This window comes from Homo sapiens, chromosome 6, assembly GCF_000001405.40.
Source record: "Homo sapiens chromosome 6, GRCh38.p14 Primary Assembly".
In the NCBI taxonomy this organism is placed as follows: domain Eukaryota; kingdom Metazoa; phylum Chordata; class Mammalia; order Primates; family Hominidae; genus Homo; species Homo sapiens.
In genome coordinates this window covers 138,219,444-138,238,499 of record NC_000006.12, presented here as the reverse complement: position 1 = coordinate 138,238,499, position 19,056 = coordinate 138,219,444, and the positions used below count along the sequence as shown (strand labels likewise).

At 40.4% G+C, this 19,056-nt stretch overlaps 1 protein-coding gene across 3 annotated transcripts in view; it reads right to left on the bottom strand.

The window, feature by feature from the left end:
- ARFGEF3 (ARFGEF family member 3) overlaps window positions 1–19,056 on the bottom strand; it is a 182,725-nt gene that overhangs the window by 106,164 nt on the left and 57,505 nt on the right. For 2 of the 3 annotated variants that reach the window (XR_001743524.2, NM_020340.5), the window contains exon 5: window positions 8,648–8,716. Coding sequence is in view for 1 of the 3 variants with exons in the window: in NM_020340.5 (NP_065073.3) it covers window positions 8,648–8,716 (69 nt within the window). In the remaining 2 variants the exon portion in view is untranslated. Of the gene's footprint in view, window positions 1–8,647; window positions 8,717–14,451; window positions 14,778–19,056 lie in introns of those variants that run through there. The other variant, XM_047419108.1, reaches the window with a different exon arrangement.

Below are 19,056 nucleotides of genomic sequence, written 5' to 3'. Positions count from 1 at the left end.
AAATAAGACAGCAACACACATGTCTGCAGGTATCAGCTTATTACCAACATTCTTTGGGATTGACCAGAGAGGATATCAAATCCCTCTTAAACAGAAAGTCAGCCTGATTTAGGACTGGTTATTACTAAATATAACTAAATATATTTTAAATCCCTGGAAATTTGTTTTTAAGCATATAGGAAAAGTAATATTTCCCTAAGGAACCATTCTTACAACCTGTTCCTCTGAGCATCATAGGGGAACGCAAATTAGCGATTTTTAGATGTGCCAAATAATTCTATCTAGAATCAACTCAGGTGGCTGGAAATTAATCAGAAAAAGCTCCCTTCGTAGTGAAATAGAACAGAATTTATTAACTCCCAGGTTGTGCAGTGTGGGAAAAGGGTTAGCAAAACGCTTTCTCCTGCTCTATGAATGAGTTTGACCTTGGGTCAACCCTCTAGCTGTGTTCTTCTGGAAATTTCATAAAGGCAGGACATCAGCTGTGTTACTAGGTAGCATGGCTTATGGCAAAAATGTTTCCAAATTCCTACACTACATCTGAATTGGGAGAACTGTGAATCAACTATAAATACCTGGTGGGTAGCCACAGGTTTGGGCTTCCCTAGGTTTACTGACTCTTCGAATTGACACGTCCTCTGCAGGAACTCTGCAAACTCTGCTAATAGAGTTGTTTCAGAAATATTGGTCCTATTTGGGACATGGGGCTTCTAGACCAAGGTGACTGCACTCACCGAGATGGCTCTCATCTCCTTGCACCTACGCTGTCATTTGAGAGCCAGAGGTTCTTCTCTAGGCTGCTGTGAGGAACCCCAGGAATAACAATGCCTAACACTGTCCTGCTTCTGTTTCCTGTCCTGTGTCCTGCAAAGTGAATATAACACCAAGGGTGGCCTATTTGGGTCTTACCAGTCTCCATGTCTAGTTGAGCCTAAAAAGACCTGGTGGTGGCTACTACATGGAGAAATCTCAATTAGAAAAAAAAATCCCTCATTTGATAATATGCTGCTAAAAGTCATGACTTTTCAGATTTTACTGCCTCTAATTCTTCTGGAAGCTACAGGATGGGCACGAAAATGCATGCTGTAAATTTGCCTACTTTTTTTCTCTCCATAAGGCATTCAATTTTACAAAGCATATTTAGAGACACGAAAACAAAAAGAGGAGTTTAATTTCCTAAATTATTTTTCTAGGAAGAGCTCCAAGATTATCTACAATGAAAATCCAGGATTCTCACCTACATGGCAAATTTAATTTGATGATTGACAACTGAGATGGGCAAGAGACTACATTTTAATCTTTGTTGCTGCTTCTGCTTAAGCTGGAGAATTTTCTGCCAGGCCTCATGTTATCTTTTTCTTTCTGCCATGCCTCACTATGTTTACCTAGCAGAATTAACTAGGTGAACATAATTTTTTTTAAGTTTAATTTATCTCCTATTGAATGTTAATATTTCAAAGGAGCATTTGAAACTGAAAACTGTATTTGAAAAAAAAAAAAGGCAGTCTTCTCAACCTCGACAAAACCCAACAACTCCCAAACCTACATTTGAAAGTTGGCTTAGATTAATTAATTTCATAGTTAAAAAGCAAAAGCAAGTTATAAAGTATTTATTTTTCATAAAAGTATTTAGGGCACGTGACTTTTAATTCATTTTCTCAAATAACCATGGATATAGTGGATTTGAAGATACAATAATTTATGCATGCTTAGAAAAGAAAAGGTGTTTTAGGCTAGATGTGGTGGCTCACACCTGTAATCCTAGCACTTTGGGAGGCTGAGGTGGCTGGATCGCTTGAGCCCAAGAGTTTGAGATCTGCCTGGGCGCAACGGGGCAAAACCCCATCTCTACAAAAAATACACAAATTAGCCGGGCATGGTGGTGCACGCCTATAGTCCCAGCTCCAGGCATGGGAGGATCACCTCAGCCTGGGAAGGTAGAGGCTACAAGGAGCCGTGATATTGTGCCACTCCAGTCTGGGTGACAGAGACCCTACCTACCCCCTGAAAGGTGTTTTAACCCTGAAATGCTTCTACTTTTGCATGCGATGAAATGGTTTTAAAACTTTGAAGATACATCTAAATGAGTGCAGTGATTCACTTTGATGAAGCCAAACTCTCCATTGTGTATCATTTGTACTTCATAATTTAACAGTTTTCTTTAAATCTTACATTTTCCCCAGAAATCTTTATAACTGTTGATCTTCAAGATCTATAAGCTCTGCCATTTTAAATTTATGGGGGAGTTTTAAGCCTTAAAAGCATTACAGATGAAAGAGGAGCTATTTTGAGAGCTGAACTACACACTTAATATAAACTCTCTTGAATACTGAGAAACATACCACTATGCAATCTCTGTTAAAAAATTACATCATTCACTTTAGACTCATGAAAGAAAGTGCATGCATGAGGAACTGGATTTTATATAACGCAGTGCTGTAAACAGACAAGAACTTTCCAAATATCTAATGTATTCTTTTTTTAGTTTTAATGCCAGCACTGTTTTTAGTGTTTAGTTGCTAATACTATACATATACTACTGGATATGACTTATTGCAGTAAGCATTTTATTCAGGGAAAAGGTAAGCATGCTTACTCAGCTAAAAAAAGTATTAATTTAAGAAGCCCATTTGGCTGAAGTTGGGAGTGTAAAGACTGAATATGACAAAAAGGTATCCCATTAAATATAAAAATTACCATGTATTTGATGACATGGTTATCTTTAGGTACCCAGAAAGAAATGCTTTCTCAGCTATCTTGACATCTTCTAAAGGAAAGTTTCTTACACTTCCTGTAATAATATATTGGTAAACTAGTAAGATTCATAGAACTAGAGCTTCCATTTTTAAACCTGTTCATTGTATTCAAGACCAACTATTTTTAATGTTTTTCTTCCTCTACCTCAGGGCAGTACTAAATGAGCACACTGAATCATAGCAGCTAAGAGAATACCATGTCCAAAAGCAGGCTGAATTTCTGGGACAGAGCTCATCAGTTTCTTCTTTTATTCTGCCCATTATTGGTTCTACCTGCCCATGCTCTTTGCTTTCATTATGCAGAATCAACACTGGGAAAGCCTAAGTCCTGCACCTCTGCCAGAGGCTCAAAGGGCCAAGTCAAATACCCTGTGAAAAGCCCTATAGGCACCTGATCACAGGGAACACACAAAGATGCAGGGCAGTGAGGAGATTATAAGGGACACTTTGTGATCATTTCACTGATTTGTAAGCATCCAGCTTTATAACATGCTAAACAGAACTGAGAGCAAACACAAACGGTTAATGATACAAAATAAACCCCAAAAGTAGAAGGAAAAAGAACAAGAAAACACAAGTCTGCAGGCCATACATAAGAAATAAAAGCTTTACATCACTGAGTAAGTAGACTGATAGATAACAATACTAGGTTAAACCCAGGGAGAAATCACTAAAGTATTTATTATGAAGCAGCACAGTGGAACGTAGCTATATATATACATATATTTTTCAATATATGTTGGCCAAAGGGATCACAAATATTAAAGAAGATGCCACAATAAAAATGTGCTTAGTTTTATAAAATACATATGACCTTCACTTTGTTGAACTGTGCAATTACCTTCTCTTTCCCATCTGAATGGGGTTATTGGCACTGCTTTGTTAAAATCGTATATAATACTAGTAAGTTCCATAAAGAGGTGAGCTAGTATATTTTCAACTGGGAAACTTTTATAAGGATGAAAAATAATTTACAGTGATTAAAAATAGAAAGGATCAGAGATTAAGCTATAAAAAAGCAGAAGGAATGTCTTCTATGTAGGGAAGACTATAAATGCTTCTTGAACACATTAGAACCAGAGAAAATCTTGGCTCTCACTGTAAGTCTAAGTTTCATGATTAATCATGCTGACAACTCAGTTGCCAGGCTATTCCTTATTCTCTCCTTCCTAAGACAGGTCAACAGGTAGGTATGTGGCAAGAGGCATCTCATCAAATGGGTCCTGCTGATGCAAACACACACCACACACACACACACACACACACACGGGGTGAACTGAAGTTGTTTTATTATTTCTAGGAAACAGCTGTCTAAGTCTGATCACCACGTTAGGTAGGGAAGTTTGCTAGTTTTCCTTTTGGATGTCAACTCAAAAATAAATTCTAAAAGTGCCAGGCATACCCGGAGAAATCTGATTGTGACTTGCCTCTTCCTCCTCTATGGTCTTCTTGGCTTAAGTTGGCATATTAAAATGGCTTAAGACACCTTAACCCATCGATTCGTGCACCTTCCCAGGTGCCATCTACTTGGTCTACAGAAGGTTGGCTGAGAACCAGTCCAAACTGAAGCAGAGACACTGGTCTGTGTGTCTTCTAACTCCAAACAACTTCTTCACAAGCCATGCAAGTAAGAGGTTTAAGGGAGGTATGGAAATTCCTTGCCAAAGAAGCACGTGCTCAAAGCCCATCTAGCAGTAACTAGCTAAAGAACAGACTCCTCAGAGGAGTCAAACCAGAATCAATAGAGACTGGCACACAGGAAAGAAAGGGTTTCAGGAAGGAAAAGTGAAGCTCCTTGAACTGCAATTTCCTCACTCTAGTGGTCTCAACTGGTTTGAGGCCGTGGTCCTGCTTCCATGGCTAGTTTTCTTGCCAGGAGGTGGGGTTACTCCTCCCAGTCTTGCAGAGAATATAACATAACAAGGTGCTTCCGAGATAAATAGATCAAGGCATCTGTGTACTTTTCTGCAGGATTATATCTGAGACTATCTGTTCCTTAATTGTAGAACATTTTATTTCAGGTATGTCTCAGAAATAATGCTATCATATCAGAGTAAAAGAAGTATTGGCCGGGTACGGTGGCTCATACCTGTAATCCCAGCACTTTGGGAGGCCGAGGCGGGTGGATCACGAGGTCAGGAGTTAGAGACCAGCCTGGCCAATAAGGCGAAATCCCAACTCTACTAAAAATACAAAAAAACTAGCCAGGTGTGGTGGCATGCGCCTGTAATCCCAGCTACTCGGGAGGCTGAGGCAGGAGAATCGCTTGAACCCAGGAGGCGTAGGTTGCAGTGAGCTGAGATTGTGCCACTGCAGTCCAGCCTGGGCAACAGAGTGAGACTCCATCTCCCCCCACCCCCCAAAAAAGTATCACTGAACATTTCAAGAGCTATAAACCAGCCCAATCTAAAAAATACTTTAGTGACAACTAGAACTGTTAAATTAGAACTGTTGGTGGCAGGTGTTGAGCGTCAATGTTTTTTCAAGCTCCCCAGGGCAACAAGTGAAACTATTACAAACCTCCCATCCTCTGATGTGTTATATATAATGCTCAGAAAAGATACACTATCCATATGGAAATATACTGGAAAAAGTGACATATTCCCTATGGCCACTTGAATCTATGGTCACAAAAAAATGAAATGAATAAACACTTGAGCTTTATATATATAAAACACCATAGAACAATTATCTAACTAAATGCCTCGGTAAAGGTCCAAGGGTGGAAGACTCCTAAGCACTTCAGTTGGTTGCCAATATTATTATGGCAAGATTCTGCTAACATTCTCTAAGACTGAGGGGGAGCCAGGGAGCAATATAGCAGAGTGATTAACAGTACATGTTTGCAATATTAGAAGTTTGGATTTGAATATCTAGCTGTAGAAACTTGAGCAAGCAAACTTCACTTTGCTTGTATTCTTTATCTAGTTGTGGCAGAAATTAAAGGAGAATACATGTAAAATGCCACTTATTGCCATGCCTTAGGCACTCAGTGACTAGTAGCTATTATTATTAACCAGTATATTAGAATGGAGGGCTGGCTGGATGGAAGGAATAACAATAAAAAAGGTGTTTTTCATGCCCTGAAATTATGAACCTTAGAGGAAAAAACAATGGCCTTTGAGACAGATTTTGCTTGACCCTGATAGCAAGCTACAGAATCAAAGACTGGAAGTTTCCATAAGTCAATAAGATCAAACCAGCAAACACTCATTTATGAAACAGGCTTTCTGCTTTTGAGAAATCCCACAGAGAAGCCTTCCGCAGGTATAAAAAACCTTTCCAATGGAACAGGCTCACTGCAGCCTCCGCCTCCCAGGTTTAACCAATTCTGCCTCAGCCTCCCGAGTAGCTGGGATTACAGGCATGCACCACCACGCCTGGCTAATTTGTATTTTTAGTAGAGATGGGGTTTCCCCATGTTGGTTAGGCTGGTCTCGAACTCTCAACCTCAGGTGATCCGCCTGTCTCGGCCTCCCAAAGTGCTGGGATTACAGGCATGAGCCACCGTGCCCAGCCCCACCTTTTTCTTTTACTCCAAGACCTTGGCAATTTCTGCTCCCACAGCTTTTTCCTATATGAAGGTAACTTTCCTTGGAAAACTCAACATATCTGCTACCCTGGGGTTAATATTAACAGAAATCGGGCTCAGCTTTCAATCAATGAAGAGAAGGGCTATGCATCCACATGGAGTTTTAGTAATGATTTCATGAAATTGAACAGAAAGCACTTGGATATTTCATAATTGTCCATTTTTATATTTGGTAATATTTCTTATGCTTCCTGTCACAGAGGATGCTGTTCTAAGAACTTTTCATTATTGCAGTTTAATTAAGCAAGTTAAATTTAGATACACAAATGAAGGGTGCCCTCTTATTTACATTTTGAGAGCTTAATGATCCTTTTATAGTTTCAGAACCTTGGGGAAATAGCCTCATTTTTCATGCTTAAGTACACATCCCACTTCCTGATCAGCAGGTTTCAGGATAAACACTATTCATGAGTAATAGTCAATGTATACAAAAGTAAGCAGGAAGAGAACATCTAGATTCCTTCTTTACATTTCCACAGGAGTTTTAAATGGTTTATTTTAAGGTGCTTTTATAAATTGCTTCCCGATTTCAAACGTGGCAATGGCAAACATTTCACATTTACCATGTGGCTGGACTTGCACTAAAAGCTTTTTATATGGATTGTATTTTTCTTGTCTAATCAGCACAACCACACTATGAGCTCAGTATCACTTATCATTTCATCTACAGAGAGCAAACATGAGGCTGGGACAGGTATCCGAGGCAACACCACTAGGCAGTGTAGAGCCGGCTTCATATCTAAGCAGTATGACTCCAGAGCCCATTTTTCTCTCCCACCAAGCTCAAATGCCTTTATCATTATATTGTTCTTTGGCTATGATCTGTTGTTGTTGTTTTTCCTTTCCTCATTTTGGAAGAGGCCACAGTGTTTCAATGTTGCATCCTATCTGGACGGGCCTGCTGAGTCTTTTTATTTTGGCTTCCAGATACTCTCAGTGAACACCCTTCACTCGTGCCGAACTTGGTGGTGTGTGCCTATTATTCAGGAATTATATTTTCAATCATTCTGACTCTCATTCAAAACCTGGTTGTTGTTGATACTAACAGCCTCAATCCCTGGCAGCCCTCTCCTCCTGAAGACCCTCTGCTCCTTGTCTCCCCTTCCCCCCAGTTCCATCAGCAGGGGCAGTGGCTTGACACCTCCCCTCTCTTCCTTCACATGGCAAAGGGCTAACAAGCCTCTTACACACCAATCCTGCTTCTTGCTATTTTCAGAAACAACACTGTCTTTTGAAAAGTGAACCTGCAGATAATGAAAGAGCTCACAGGGCTCTCTTAAAATTCAATTAAAAACAAATGCAAATAAAACAAATACAGAGTATACATACAAATGTGTTAAAGGAAAGTGTTCTTTCCATCTGTATCAATCCATATTTTAAAAGTGACTTGTATTGTAATGAGAGGTCAGCTGATTGGCTGCTGCTTTCTCTTTTGACAGTCACATAAAAATTTTCTACACGCTCAAAAATAATTTTCTCTTAATTTTCACTGTTTAATACCACATGATACCATAAAAAGCACATGTATCTGCTAATATAAGTACTCTCCATGAGTGCTGATAATTAGCCTTTTTCTCCATCATTTCAGAACTCAGAAAATCATTCCTCTTTGTGGTTTGAATGTATACTCTTATCAGAACATACAAATCCTGTAGATATTCTTTTCAAGAAATGGAAGGGAAATTATTCCAAGCATATTAAAGTTCAGCTTTGAAATGATAGTGTTTCCAAAAGCCAAAGACATATGCCAGGCATTCAAGAAGCCAAGTTTTCTGTTGGACATATTCTTGGGCATGCTGGAAGGCACACATTACTCTGGGCTGCAATACAGATTGAAATGAGAAGGCTTTTCAATGATCATTTCAATAGGCATTCTTCAGGGTTTTGAAGATGGGGAGGGGATTTAATCTATAAACATCTCTCTAAATCTCCTACTTGGTTTCTTAAAAACTATTTTTTTAAATCAAATGCTTTTCAATGAATTGTGGGCAAATTAGACCGAGAAAGCAATACGCCTGGGTGGAGCAGGGTAAGGGGAACCAGTACTGTTATTTACATAGTGAAGGCCTCAAGTGAAGCAAACGTAAGCATGCAGGGCTCTGAGACACATGGCATTACAACTAAGGATGGCGCACCACACAGCACGCTTCCCACAGATCAATTCCTTAGCGGAAATTCCCCACGGTAGTAATCAGAGAAGGATTCACTCCAGTGCTGGGGCTTAGTTCCACCCCAATATTTATCCCAGTCAGAGATAAAGCAGCTGTGAACAGGAGGCACAGACACAAGCAGTACTCACCTCCGCGATCTTCAGCACGGCACTCCCATTCAGATCAAATGTTGGCGTGTAGGTGATGCATAGTAAAACCTTTAACAAGGTGAGAGATGAAAGAAGAGACAAGGGGTTAACAGTATGGAAATTCACTGTTGTTTCATATGCCATTTGTGCAGTCCTGTTTTTATGATTCCTTTGCTATTTGCTTTACCTAATATTTCTTTATATCCCACCCACTGCTTTCTCATTAGTGGCCACATGTTGCCTAACAAAGTAGAGACCATCCTGTAAAAAATAAAGGCTGCTAATCTCTCCCCATGGAAAGGGCTTGCAAGACTGGCCAGAAACAGCATCTCTCAACAGCTCCAGGAGGTGTGTCCAGTAACAGCAAAAACCTCAAAAGAGTTGTTTAGTAGCAGTCATTTTAAAAATGCCAGGCTTAATGCTAGGCACTTCACATGAATTATCTAGGTTGACCTTCTAAATAAGTGTCATTATTATTGCCCCCGTTTTACTGGTGAGAAAACTAGAACTCCATGATTAAATATGTTACCTAAGGTCATACAGGTGGCAAGTGTTGAACTCAAGTAATCCGACTCCATGTGCTCACTCACGAGGCAAAGCCATCTCCACCTCTTCTGAAACTCAAATGTCAGTGTCATTTTCTATTCCTATCCCTTTCCCAAATCCACACGGAATTAGAAATTCTTTTATTGCATTTTCCTCTTCCCTCTTGCAATTTCCTCCAGAATGTTACATGGTGTTTACTTACTCCCCTTATTTTCCAAGATACATAGACAATAGGTCAATGACATTTGCAAGATCTTTAAGGACCACTAAAAACTTCACTTTCTACTTGTAGAGCCTTTAGGGAACAGATCAATAAAAGCCTGTGGCATTTTAAGAACTGCTTCTCAATTTGTAGGTAAGAGGCTACTCTCTCCCTCTTCACTTAGCTCTGACTTTTCTTGCTGCAGAAAACAGACACAAAGGTGCTGGTGTCTGCTCCTTGATCTCAAACCCCACAGCCATGCCCTGCCTGCAGCTTAGCCTGCCAGGGGCAGTCTTCTGAGCATTTTTCTCATCTGTTCAATTCATGAAGGAGCATGGAAGCCTAGCAAATTTACTTAATACAGGAAACTGCAATTGTCAGATGTGACAAGAAATCTCTCCCCATCTCTCAGTCTTAGCTGTCAGCTAGGCCGGCCCTAGGAACAGTCGCTCCTTCAGAGAAAGCAAGTATGTATGCAATTAAAGGGGGGTAAAAAAGATTTTTTTTTGCCATATTTAGTCACAAGGGTGGGTATTAATTGCAGGTGTGCTCCTCAGTCTTTTGATTCTTAAAGGGACTTAATCCAAGAATCAACACCAAATAAAAATCAGCTCAGTTGGCTGGGCACAGTGGCTCACACCTGTAATCCCAGCACTTTGCAAAGCTGAGGTGGGCGGATCACTTGAGATTAGGAGTTCGAGACCAGCCTGGGCAACATGGCAAAACCCCATCTCTACTAAAAATACAAAAAAAAAAAAAAATTATCCAGGTGTGGTGGTGGTTGCCTGTAATCCCAGCTATCCGGGAGGCTGAGGCAGGAGAATCACTTGAACCCGGGAGGCGGAGGTTGCAGTGAACCGAGATCACACTGTTTCACTCCAGCCTGGGTGACAGAGTGAGACTCCATCTCAAAAAAAAAAAAAAAAAAAAAATTGTCTCAGTGCCATGGCGATTGAGAAAAAGGGATTGGGTAGCAACTGCCTCTTGGCCTCATGGGAAATAGCTTTCTTTTGTTTCATGACAATCTTTGGGAACTGGGATTTGGTAGGTAGGGAGGGATGAAAGCTGAGGACAGTGGGGTCACCAGGACCTACCCTGGGCTTGGAGGGAGGCTATGTCTTCCAGGCCCCTGTAAGTACACAGTGGTGGTCCCATGGCTGAAAAGCCCTGTCCTTGGCTCCTCCTCTATTTGTTTTGCCACGTGGCTTGATTGGCTTCTTTCCAGTCTTAGATGTCGCCCCCTCAGACAGACATTCCCAGATCCCCCTCTCTAAAGTACTCAGTATCACATCTCCTTGTTTCATTTACTTCAGAGCAGACATCAGTCTCATAAATGACTTGTTTGCTTATTTGCAATCTTCTCATTAGACTATACCATCCGTGGAGCCTGTGAAAGGCCCTCAGGACATTGTCACATGATGCTTTCTTACTCTGAGGTTTTTTATTTTTAGTGCCATGTTTCATGGCGGGGGGCGGGGAGTCTGAGTTGGTGGTGGCCAGCAGAGGCCACTTGGTCCCTCTGGGCTCTTGATTTTTTAAGTATTGACAATAAAGACTGGCACCACTTTACGATATGAAAATAATGATGGCAAATATTTGTCCTCACTGGTTAATTATTAACATTGCTTATAGGACTGACGATCAACTTTCTGCCTTCCGTGGCTCTGTGAGTTCATATAAGGTACACAAAGGTAGGTTTAGGAAGAAGTGTTTGAAACTTGACCCAGTTTTCTGTGAGCAAGAGCTGCTTTTCGGAGCAGCGGTTGGAAGCAGGAGCAGTTCCCATGGTGAGGTCTTCGTAAGGGTGTTGAGTTAGCAGTATTGGTAATCAAGATTCTCAGGGGAATGCAGGAAGCTTGACTCCCTGTGTTTCAGGGAAGCCCAGCATATGTAGAGGGAGACCTCCCTGCAACAACAGTCCACAGAAGCTGAGGATACCTGCACCCAGGCCCCCAGCCAATGCTGACCATGTTCACAAGATGTTGGAAGGAAGGCTTTCCACACCTAATGTCTGGCCACCAATAGTCAAAGACTCACTGAGCTATATGGAAAAAAAAAAAACAAAATCAACCCTGAAAACAGCAGGAAATAATGAAAGGAAAGTAAAGCACATTAACGGAGCCAGTTCCTTAAGCTCATGCAGTTTGTTGCATGAAAAGCACAGCAGATTTTAATTACAGGGCTGATGGTGTCCATGCCCTCCTGGGACTCACAAGATGTATTAAGGGCAGAGCATCTAGCCAGGATGATGCAGCAGATAAAAATGACTTATTGAAATTGTTGATGCTCCCAATGCTTAGCATGTATTAATTCGCCGGATTAAAACACAGACTAGGGGTAGAAAATTTAGGGCAATAACAAATTGAAATCATCTGACTTCCATTGCATAATGAGAGGGCAACAAGTTTAGATTAACATTCTGAGCACGCTGGCCCCATGGAAAACAGAAGCAGCTAAATATTGAGGGCAATTTTATTAAAAATATATCCTTCACAGGGTCATTAAAGCATATTGACTAAATTACCATGGAACAGCAGGAACTTGAGTGATGGGCAGCGTCCTGCAATCTACACCAGCTTGCAGAAACTGCCTCCATAAATGAGCCACAAGGAAAATAGGGAAAACAGGGGCAAAGCTTTCCATGAAAAGGGAAAAATCATTACAATGGCTAATAAAAGTCCCAGATAATTGAATAGCTACTATATGCAAGAAGCAATCCCTCAATTTAAAATGTGTACAGAAACCCTGGGTTTAGGGAAAAAAAATTAGAATTAGACTTGAAAGGAGAAAGCAAAGCTGATTTATTGCAAGATTTTGGCACAAGTGACAACAATCCAGAAAATGTGGTCACGTTAATATGAGAGAGGGATGGATGTGGACAGATAATGATGATGAGCACAGAATCGCAGATGTGCTCTTTTAAGAACATCCTGAATTAATCCTCTCCCAAGGACATGTCCTGGTCATGATCGGGGGTTTCTCTGTCAGGCACACCCTGTCCAGCGACCATGATCAGGGCAGAGCAGAGGCTGTGATGTCAGGGCCACAAATGAGACATGATCATGCATGTGATTTGGTGTTTAATTGGTGTGTGACTTTGTCTATGTCCTCTAGCCCTTTACCTTTAAAATTCCCATCCCACCTCCCAAGGATAGTTACAGGAACAAATAAATTAAATGAATGTTTAAAGAAATAGTGCAGATGAGACAGACCTTTAAGCCTGTCTTCTCACAGAAGCTACACAAGTCTCATTTGATGTAGTTCATGGTAGCTATTCCAACATAGATGATTAGGCTTATTTCAAGTAAAAAAAAATATTAGAAATATCAGATAATCCACATTGAAAAGCATAGAACCTTTGGTTTTTCACTCCATGTCTTATCAATGCCACAAGTTCTCATTTTTCTGATCCAGCTCCACTTTCTTCCTTCTGTCCTCCCTTTTAGGCTACGATTCAATTCCAGTCATTATTCACTAAGGTTCTAATTGTGGGATTACAAACATAAAGGAAGCACAGTCTTTGACATCAAAAAAACTCGCACCGTCTATTGGAGAAATGAATGCCTGCAACTGTTCTTCAAGGCTGACTGTGATAAGTGCTTTTGCAATTGTGAGGTATATAATAATTTAGAAGGCTAGAAGACACAATAACTTTGGAGAAGACAGACTTTGCAGATAAGAGGACATGTGAACAAAGCGCCAACACTGGAGAGAAAAGGGAGGGAAAGATGCACCAACCTAAGGAAGTGTCATGAGCAAGGCATGGAAGTGTGAAAGCAGAGGCCAGGGATGATGCTGGAAAGATCAGTTGGAACTTTACTGGATGTCAATTTAAATGCCTTATGTTAAGTGTTTCACACATATTAGGGCTGGTCAGGCCAATAAATTATAACTAAAAGGAGATAAACTAGGGCAAATTGGAAGTCAGAGAGAGAAAACAGGCACTTAATAAGATCTAGATGATGTCGAAGACAGATCCTAGTTGTTCCCGTGGCAATGAATTGACTGTTGCGCATTTGGAAAAAAGATGCAGGGAGAGTGGAAGGCAATGGTCACCTGTGTTTGAAACCTGGGTACCATCCTACCACTGCCCTCCCACCAACCCCTACTGTCCTAGTCAACCTGGCTGAAATCTCTCATACCCCACCATTCCCACATATTTTACAAAGCTTTATATTATATATTAATGAAGTAACATGCTTTGGAGAACAGAAATATAATTTGCTCAAATTGCATAATATAAAATATTTAATGCTACAGAATGGGCAGACAACTCAAAACACTTATTCCTATAGCACTTATTTGGAACAGTTTAGATACACTACTTAAATCTGTATACTTACACACATACACGCACACACACACACCATTGGATTTCTCAGCTTCTTAGTAGTAAGATTTACCTTTTGTGATGCCTGCCATGTTTACAGCACCTTGCTGGGCCCTGGGAGGTGCTAGGAGCAGCTGGGCCTTGGCCCATGCTCAATACCTTCTATAAGATGTCCAGATGAATGGTCAGCCTCACAGTTTCAGTGGAACTGTGCATCTATGTGCCTACTCATTATTGTAAAATGTGTAGACAATGTAGTAAAACAGCCCTGGTGGTATGGAAGAAAACTGTTCTGGGCACCTGAATGTCAGATCCAGGTGGCCTGACTGGTGAAAGGCAGTTTTTGTAACCAAGTAAGGTAACACTGGAGTTTCAGGTGATCTAGTTAGGGAAATTATAATTTGGTAATCCTGAATGAGGGATTACCAAATTACACTAATCTGGCAGGACCTCGCTGTGGATGGGGAGAAAATCATCTCTAGTTTAACCAGAAAGCATCTCCCATGAGACATTTCTGATATTTCCCATTATGCTCTGCTGAGAACCTATCTATCTTCTGCACTCTCCATCATAAATGGTAACTTGTATAGGATTTATGAGTTGAAGAGCTCATTTCTATCAAGGTTCCAACAGAGCCCTCTGCAGGACCATTTCCAGGGGATTCAGGAGTAAAGAAGTGATTCCTAAAGTGATGAGAGAGCAGCTCCATGGCCACACTACACCTACCTGTGTGCTGGATTATTCAGGCTCCTATTCATTCACTCAACAAATATCTGCTGAGGTGTTGCTAGAGGCCACATCCAGCGTAGTTGTTGGACACACAGCAGTGAACAAATAAGATAATCTCTTATCTTGCAGAGCTAACATCTGGTATGAAGATGGTCATAAAATAAAAAATTACAATAAGCTGTAATGAACATTCTGAATGGGAAAATGCAGTGTCCTCTGGGAAGTCATGCCATGGTCCAACACATGATACACAAGGTGTAATGCTGTATTCATCCTTTCATGGAACTCTAAATTTCACGTTATAACACATATAATAAATTAAACCTAGGGGAAAAGAAAAGGGTACCATCAAAATGTGAGCTGATTTTGGGGAGTCAACCTACCCCTATGCCATATGGTGGGCATGAGGGCATATTGAATGAACAAGAAATTATTTTTCCTTTTTCTTAAACTGTTAAAAATTATCTTAATTAACACACAACTCCTTCTTGGGGGGAACTGTGGTTTCATTTTTCAAAATATCAGATGTTATTTATAAATCAAACCAAACAAAATAAGCTAGTTAGGGCTCCAAAAAGTACAGCCCACAGAAGGCCTTGCATTTTTCTCTCTTGGTGTATGGTGAAAACCTTAATGCCAGGCGCATTTCAAAGCCAGACTCTGGCTCTGGCTGAGAATTTAGCTTTGTTGCTTAACACACATTTCCTTCTGGCCTCTCATGTAGATTGGCTTTAAACTTCATAAAGTTAAAAATTATTGCATAATTCCTTCTCTTTAGAAACACTCCAGTTCTTTTTTTACTGTCAAATTCGGCAGCAAGAACAGAAAATTCAGTGACAAGCACAGGAATACTGAGACACCAAATGCCCTTCTATGGGGTGAAGGGTGTGCTGCCTTCCACATGCCCAGCCAAATGGAGTGTTCATTGCTGAAAGTGTACCTCGACCATGAAATGTCAACAGAGATTTTTTTCCCTCATGGTTCAGGCACAAACAACAAAGCAGACTTAGTCTTCTGAAGTTCGCAAAATGGCAGAATGTTTGTCTTTGGAGTGAGGGAGGGATGGAGTCACAGAGTAAACAAGGAATTTTCAGAGGACATTTTCTTACTTCAATTTAAATTATGGATGTCACAGAGTGGTATAATAGACACTGGAGACTCAGAATGGGGGAGGGAGGAGGATGAGGGATAAAAAACTATATATGAGGTACAAGGTACACTCCCCAAGCGACATGTTCACTAAATCTCATACTTTACCACTACACAATTTGTCCATGCAACCAAAAGCCACTTGTACCCCTAAAGCTATTGAAGTTTTTTAAAAAAATAAAATGTTGATGACAAAGACAAACCTTTTTTCTTACTTTGATCAAGGTTTTTCAATCTCAGCACTATTCGCATGTTAGACAAAATAATTCCTTTTGTCGGCAGGACTGTCCTGCTCATTGTAGGATATGTAGCAGCATCCTTGGCTTCTACCCAATAGATGGCAGTGGCAATACCCCCATTCCCCCAGCTCCTCCTTCCCACTGCCAGTTGTGACAAGTGAAGATGCCTCCAGGAATTGCTAAACGTCCCCTGAGGACAAAATTGCTCCCACCTGAGAACTACTGTTTCATTCATTTCTGTCCCACATGCCTTGTAGACATAACTCAGAACTTCTACCAACAAGCTTGTCCAACCCTGCGGCCCACGGGGCACATGTAGGCCAGGACAGCTTTGAATGTGGCCCAACACAAATTCGTAAACTTTCTTAAAACATTATAAGTTTGTTTTGCAATTTTTTTTTAAGCTCATCAGCTATCGGTAGTGTTAGTGTATTTTATGTGTGGCCTGAGACAATTCTTCTTCCGATGTGGCTCAGGGAAGCTAAAAGATTGGAAGCCCCTGCTCTACAACACTGTTCCAACTCCAAAAGGCTGACAGCTAGAATCTAGGACTTCCAGAGAAGAACTAGGATGAGCCACTGATCCTTCCCTTTGCTTCAGAGACTGTGGATTAGAGGTCACAACAAGTAGCTGGGCTACAACCTCAATCTTTATTTTTGACCCTAAGAAAATGCATTGTTATTTTATTTCATAAAACATCTACCACTATTAGCAGGTTATCAACCAAATCACTCTCTGGCTCAACTTGCCAAATTTCTGGCAAACAGCTATTCTGAGAGATTTTTTAGTCAACAGATTTTGCTAGAGCTCCTAAATACTCAAGGTGGAAAATCTTTCAAATTCCTCATTGGTTTATGGTCATGTCACGGGTTCTTTTCTGGCCTTTATTGATTGCCACTAGAAATAAGTTATTGATATTCATCAGATATGCCCTTAGCACTGAATTCTAGGAAATACTGTAACAGTGATAGTCACAGAAAAAATATATAAATATTAGTTATAATTAATTTAGCTAATTCACTTGAACAAATAATCTGTTCATTATTTATATTTTCTTCTCCCTTCTAAACCTTCTCCCCTGGCCAAGTCTTATAACTGTCATCTCTAACTAGAGGACTCACAAATCTATTTCTAGAGTCAACATTTTCCCCAGGTTGTAATCCTTAATTTCAGTTTCTAAACATCACAAATAAATATTGACATATTAGACCAAATAATTTCTTTTGTTCAATTCCATGAAAATCACATCAACCTCACTAAGGCTGTAATATGGTAAACAGCTAAACATTTCTTGTTCTAAAATTCTTAATTACCCCTGTAGATATCCCCATCAAGAAACAGAATCTATTTCCCCACCTTTTAAATATGAGGTGTGGAGTGACCATTAGCTTGAAATGACCAATGGGACATCAGCAAGCAAACAAACCAAACCCCCAAAACACTTGGGGCCTCTGAGTTCCTCAATTTTCCCTGCCACTGCCACCATGTAGATAACCTGCCATGCTAGAAAATGAAAGACCTTATAGAAAGAGGTACCAATCTTCCCACCTGGACCTGATGCAGCAATTGTAAGTCAGCCAGCCCCAGCCAAGCCACCAACTGACCGAAGATGTATGAGCAAGCACAGCTGGGATCAGCAAAAGAACAGGACAGCCGAGCCCAGCCTGAACTGCCTACTGCATTTTGGGGTGGTTTCCGATACATGAGGCATAGTCTCAACCATATTTATTTTAGAATATGAACTTGCTTTACTATTTCAAGTGAATTCTAGGAGATTCAGCTGTGTTTATATGGCAAGGCAATTTAGTTGGTCAAGATGAGATCTACTAATTCCAACCCTTATGGAGAACAAACTGGATTGGTCAGTTACGTGTTGATTACTGCTGGATGATAATATGTGATTAAGATGGGAAAAAGAAATTACTGTGGAAGGGCTGAGTCGATGTCCTTCTAGCAAGTATATTAGACATGAAGACCAGCAAGTGTATTAGAACTTGCACCCAAAGGTTGAGTGGAAAAGACTTATTTTTTTGTTCCATTGTACAAGTAGTTCATGTTTTAGAAATAGACTCTAGCCTAAAATTTCAGTAGAATGCAGGATGCATTTTCTCATAGAAGTAAAGATATAAATTACAGATAGTTGCTTAGGGCAGCCTACAGATTTCTCTTTCATCCAGAACATACAGGAAGTATTCTGTATTGGCAATAAATACAATGGAAATAATAGAAAAATAAAAATAAAAAATTCTTAATTATGCTAACATTAAAACTGTACTTAAAGGACTACATATATATAGATATATAGAGAGAACCATGTGGAAAATGCTTATGATTTAAAGTATAAAGCAAGAAATAGGTTGGCTGCAGTGGCTCACACCTATAATCCTAGCACTTCGGGAGGCCAAGGCAGATAGATTGTTTGAACACAGGAGTTCGAGACCAGCCTGGGAAACATGGCAAAACCTTGTCTCTACAAAAGAAATACAAAAATTGGTTGAGCATAGTGGCGCACCCAGTAGGCTGAGGTTGGAGGATCACCTGAGACCTGGAGGTCAAGGCTGCAGTGAGCTGTGATTGCGTGATTGCATCACTGAGCTCTAGCCTGGGTGACAGTGAAACCCTGCAGAAAAAAAGAAAGGAAAAGGAAAAGAAAAGAGAAGATAAAAGAAAAAAAATCCTATACACACAATGAATATAACTATAAACACATAAGTAGATATGATGAGAAATCAGTATACAAGAATCAGTCAACATGATGGGATTTACAATTAACTTTTTCTCTTTTGGAATGCCCATAATGTTAAACTACTAGCACTTCTTTAAATTCATCTTTTAAAATATTCTACACACACACACACACACACGCACATCTATGTCAAAATTTAAATATAAATATTGAGACCTGATAATATGAACTCAGTCTCTATCTCTTAAATTAGTCCCGTAAGACCATCACTCAACCAGAAACTCTGGCTGTGAGTCCTGCAGGCAACTTGGGCTTTCCCTCTCCTACCTACTCACTGCCCATGTCACTGCCAGTCACCAGCTGCTCCTTATTCTGCAAACCAGGTCAGTGCACTCAGCCACACCTTTCTGCATTCAGCCCAGGTGGCCCCTTCCTACTGCCACCTACCTGGATTAAGTCCTGGTACCTCTGGCTCAGCCTCTTCCAATAAGATATTTCACGATGCCAAAGACTTGGTTCTGCTGATTC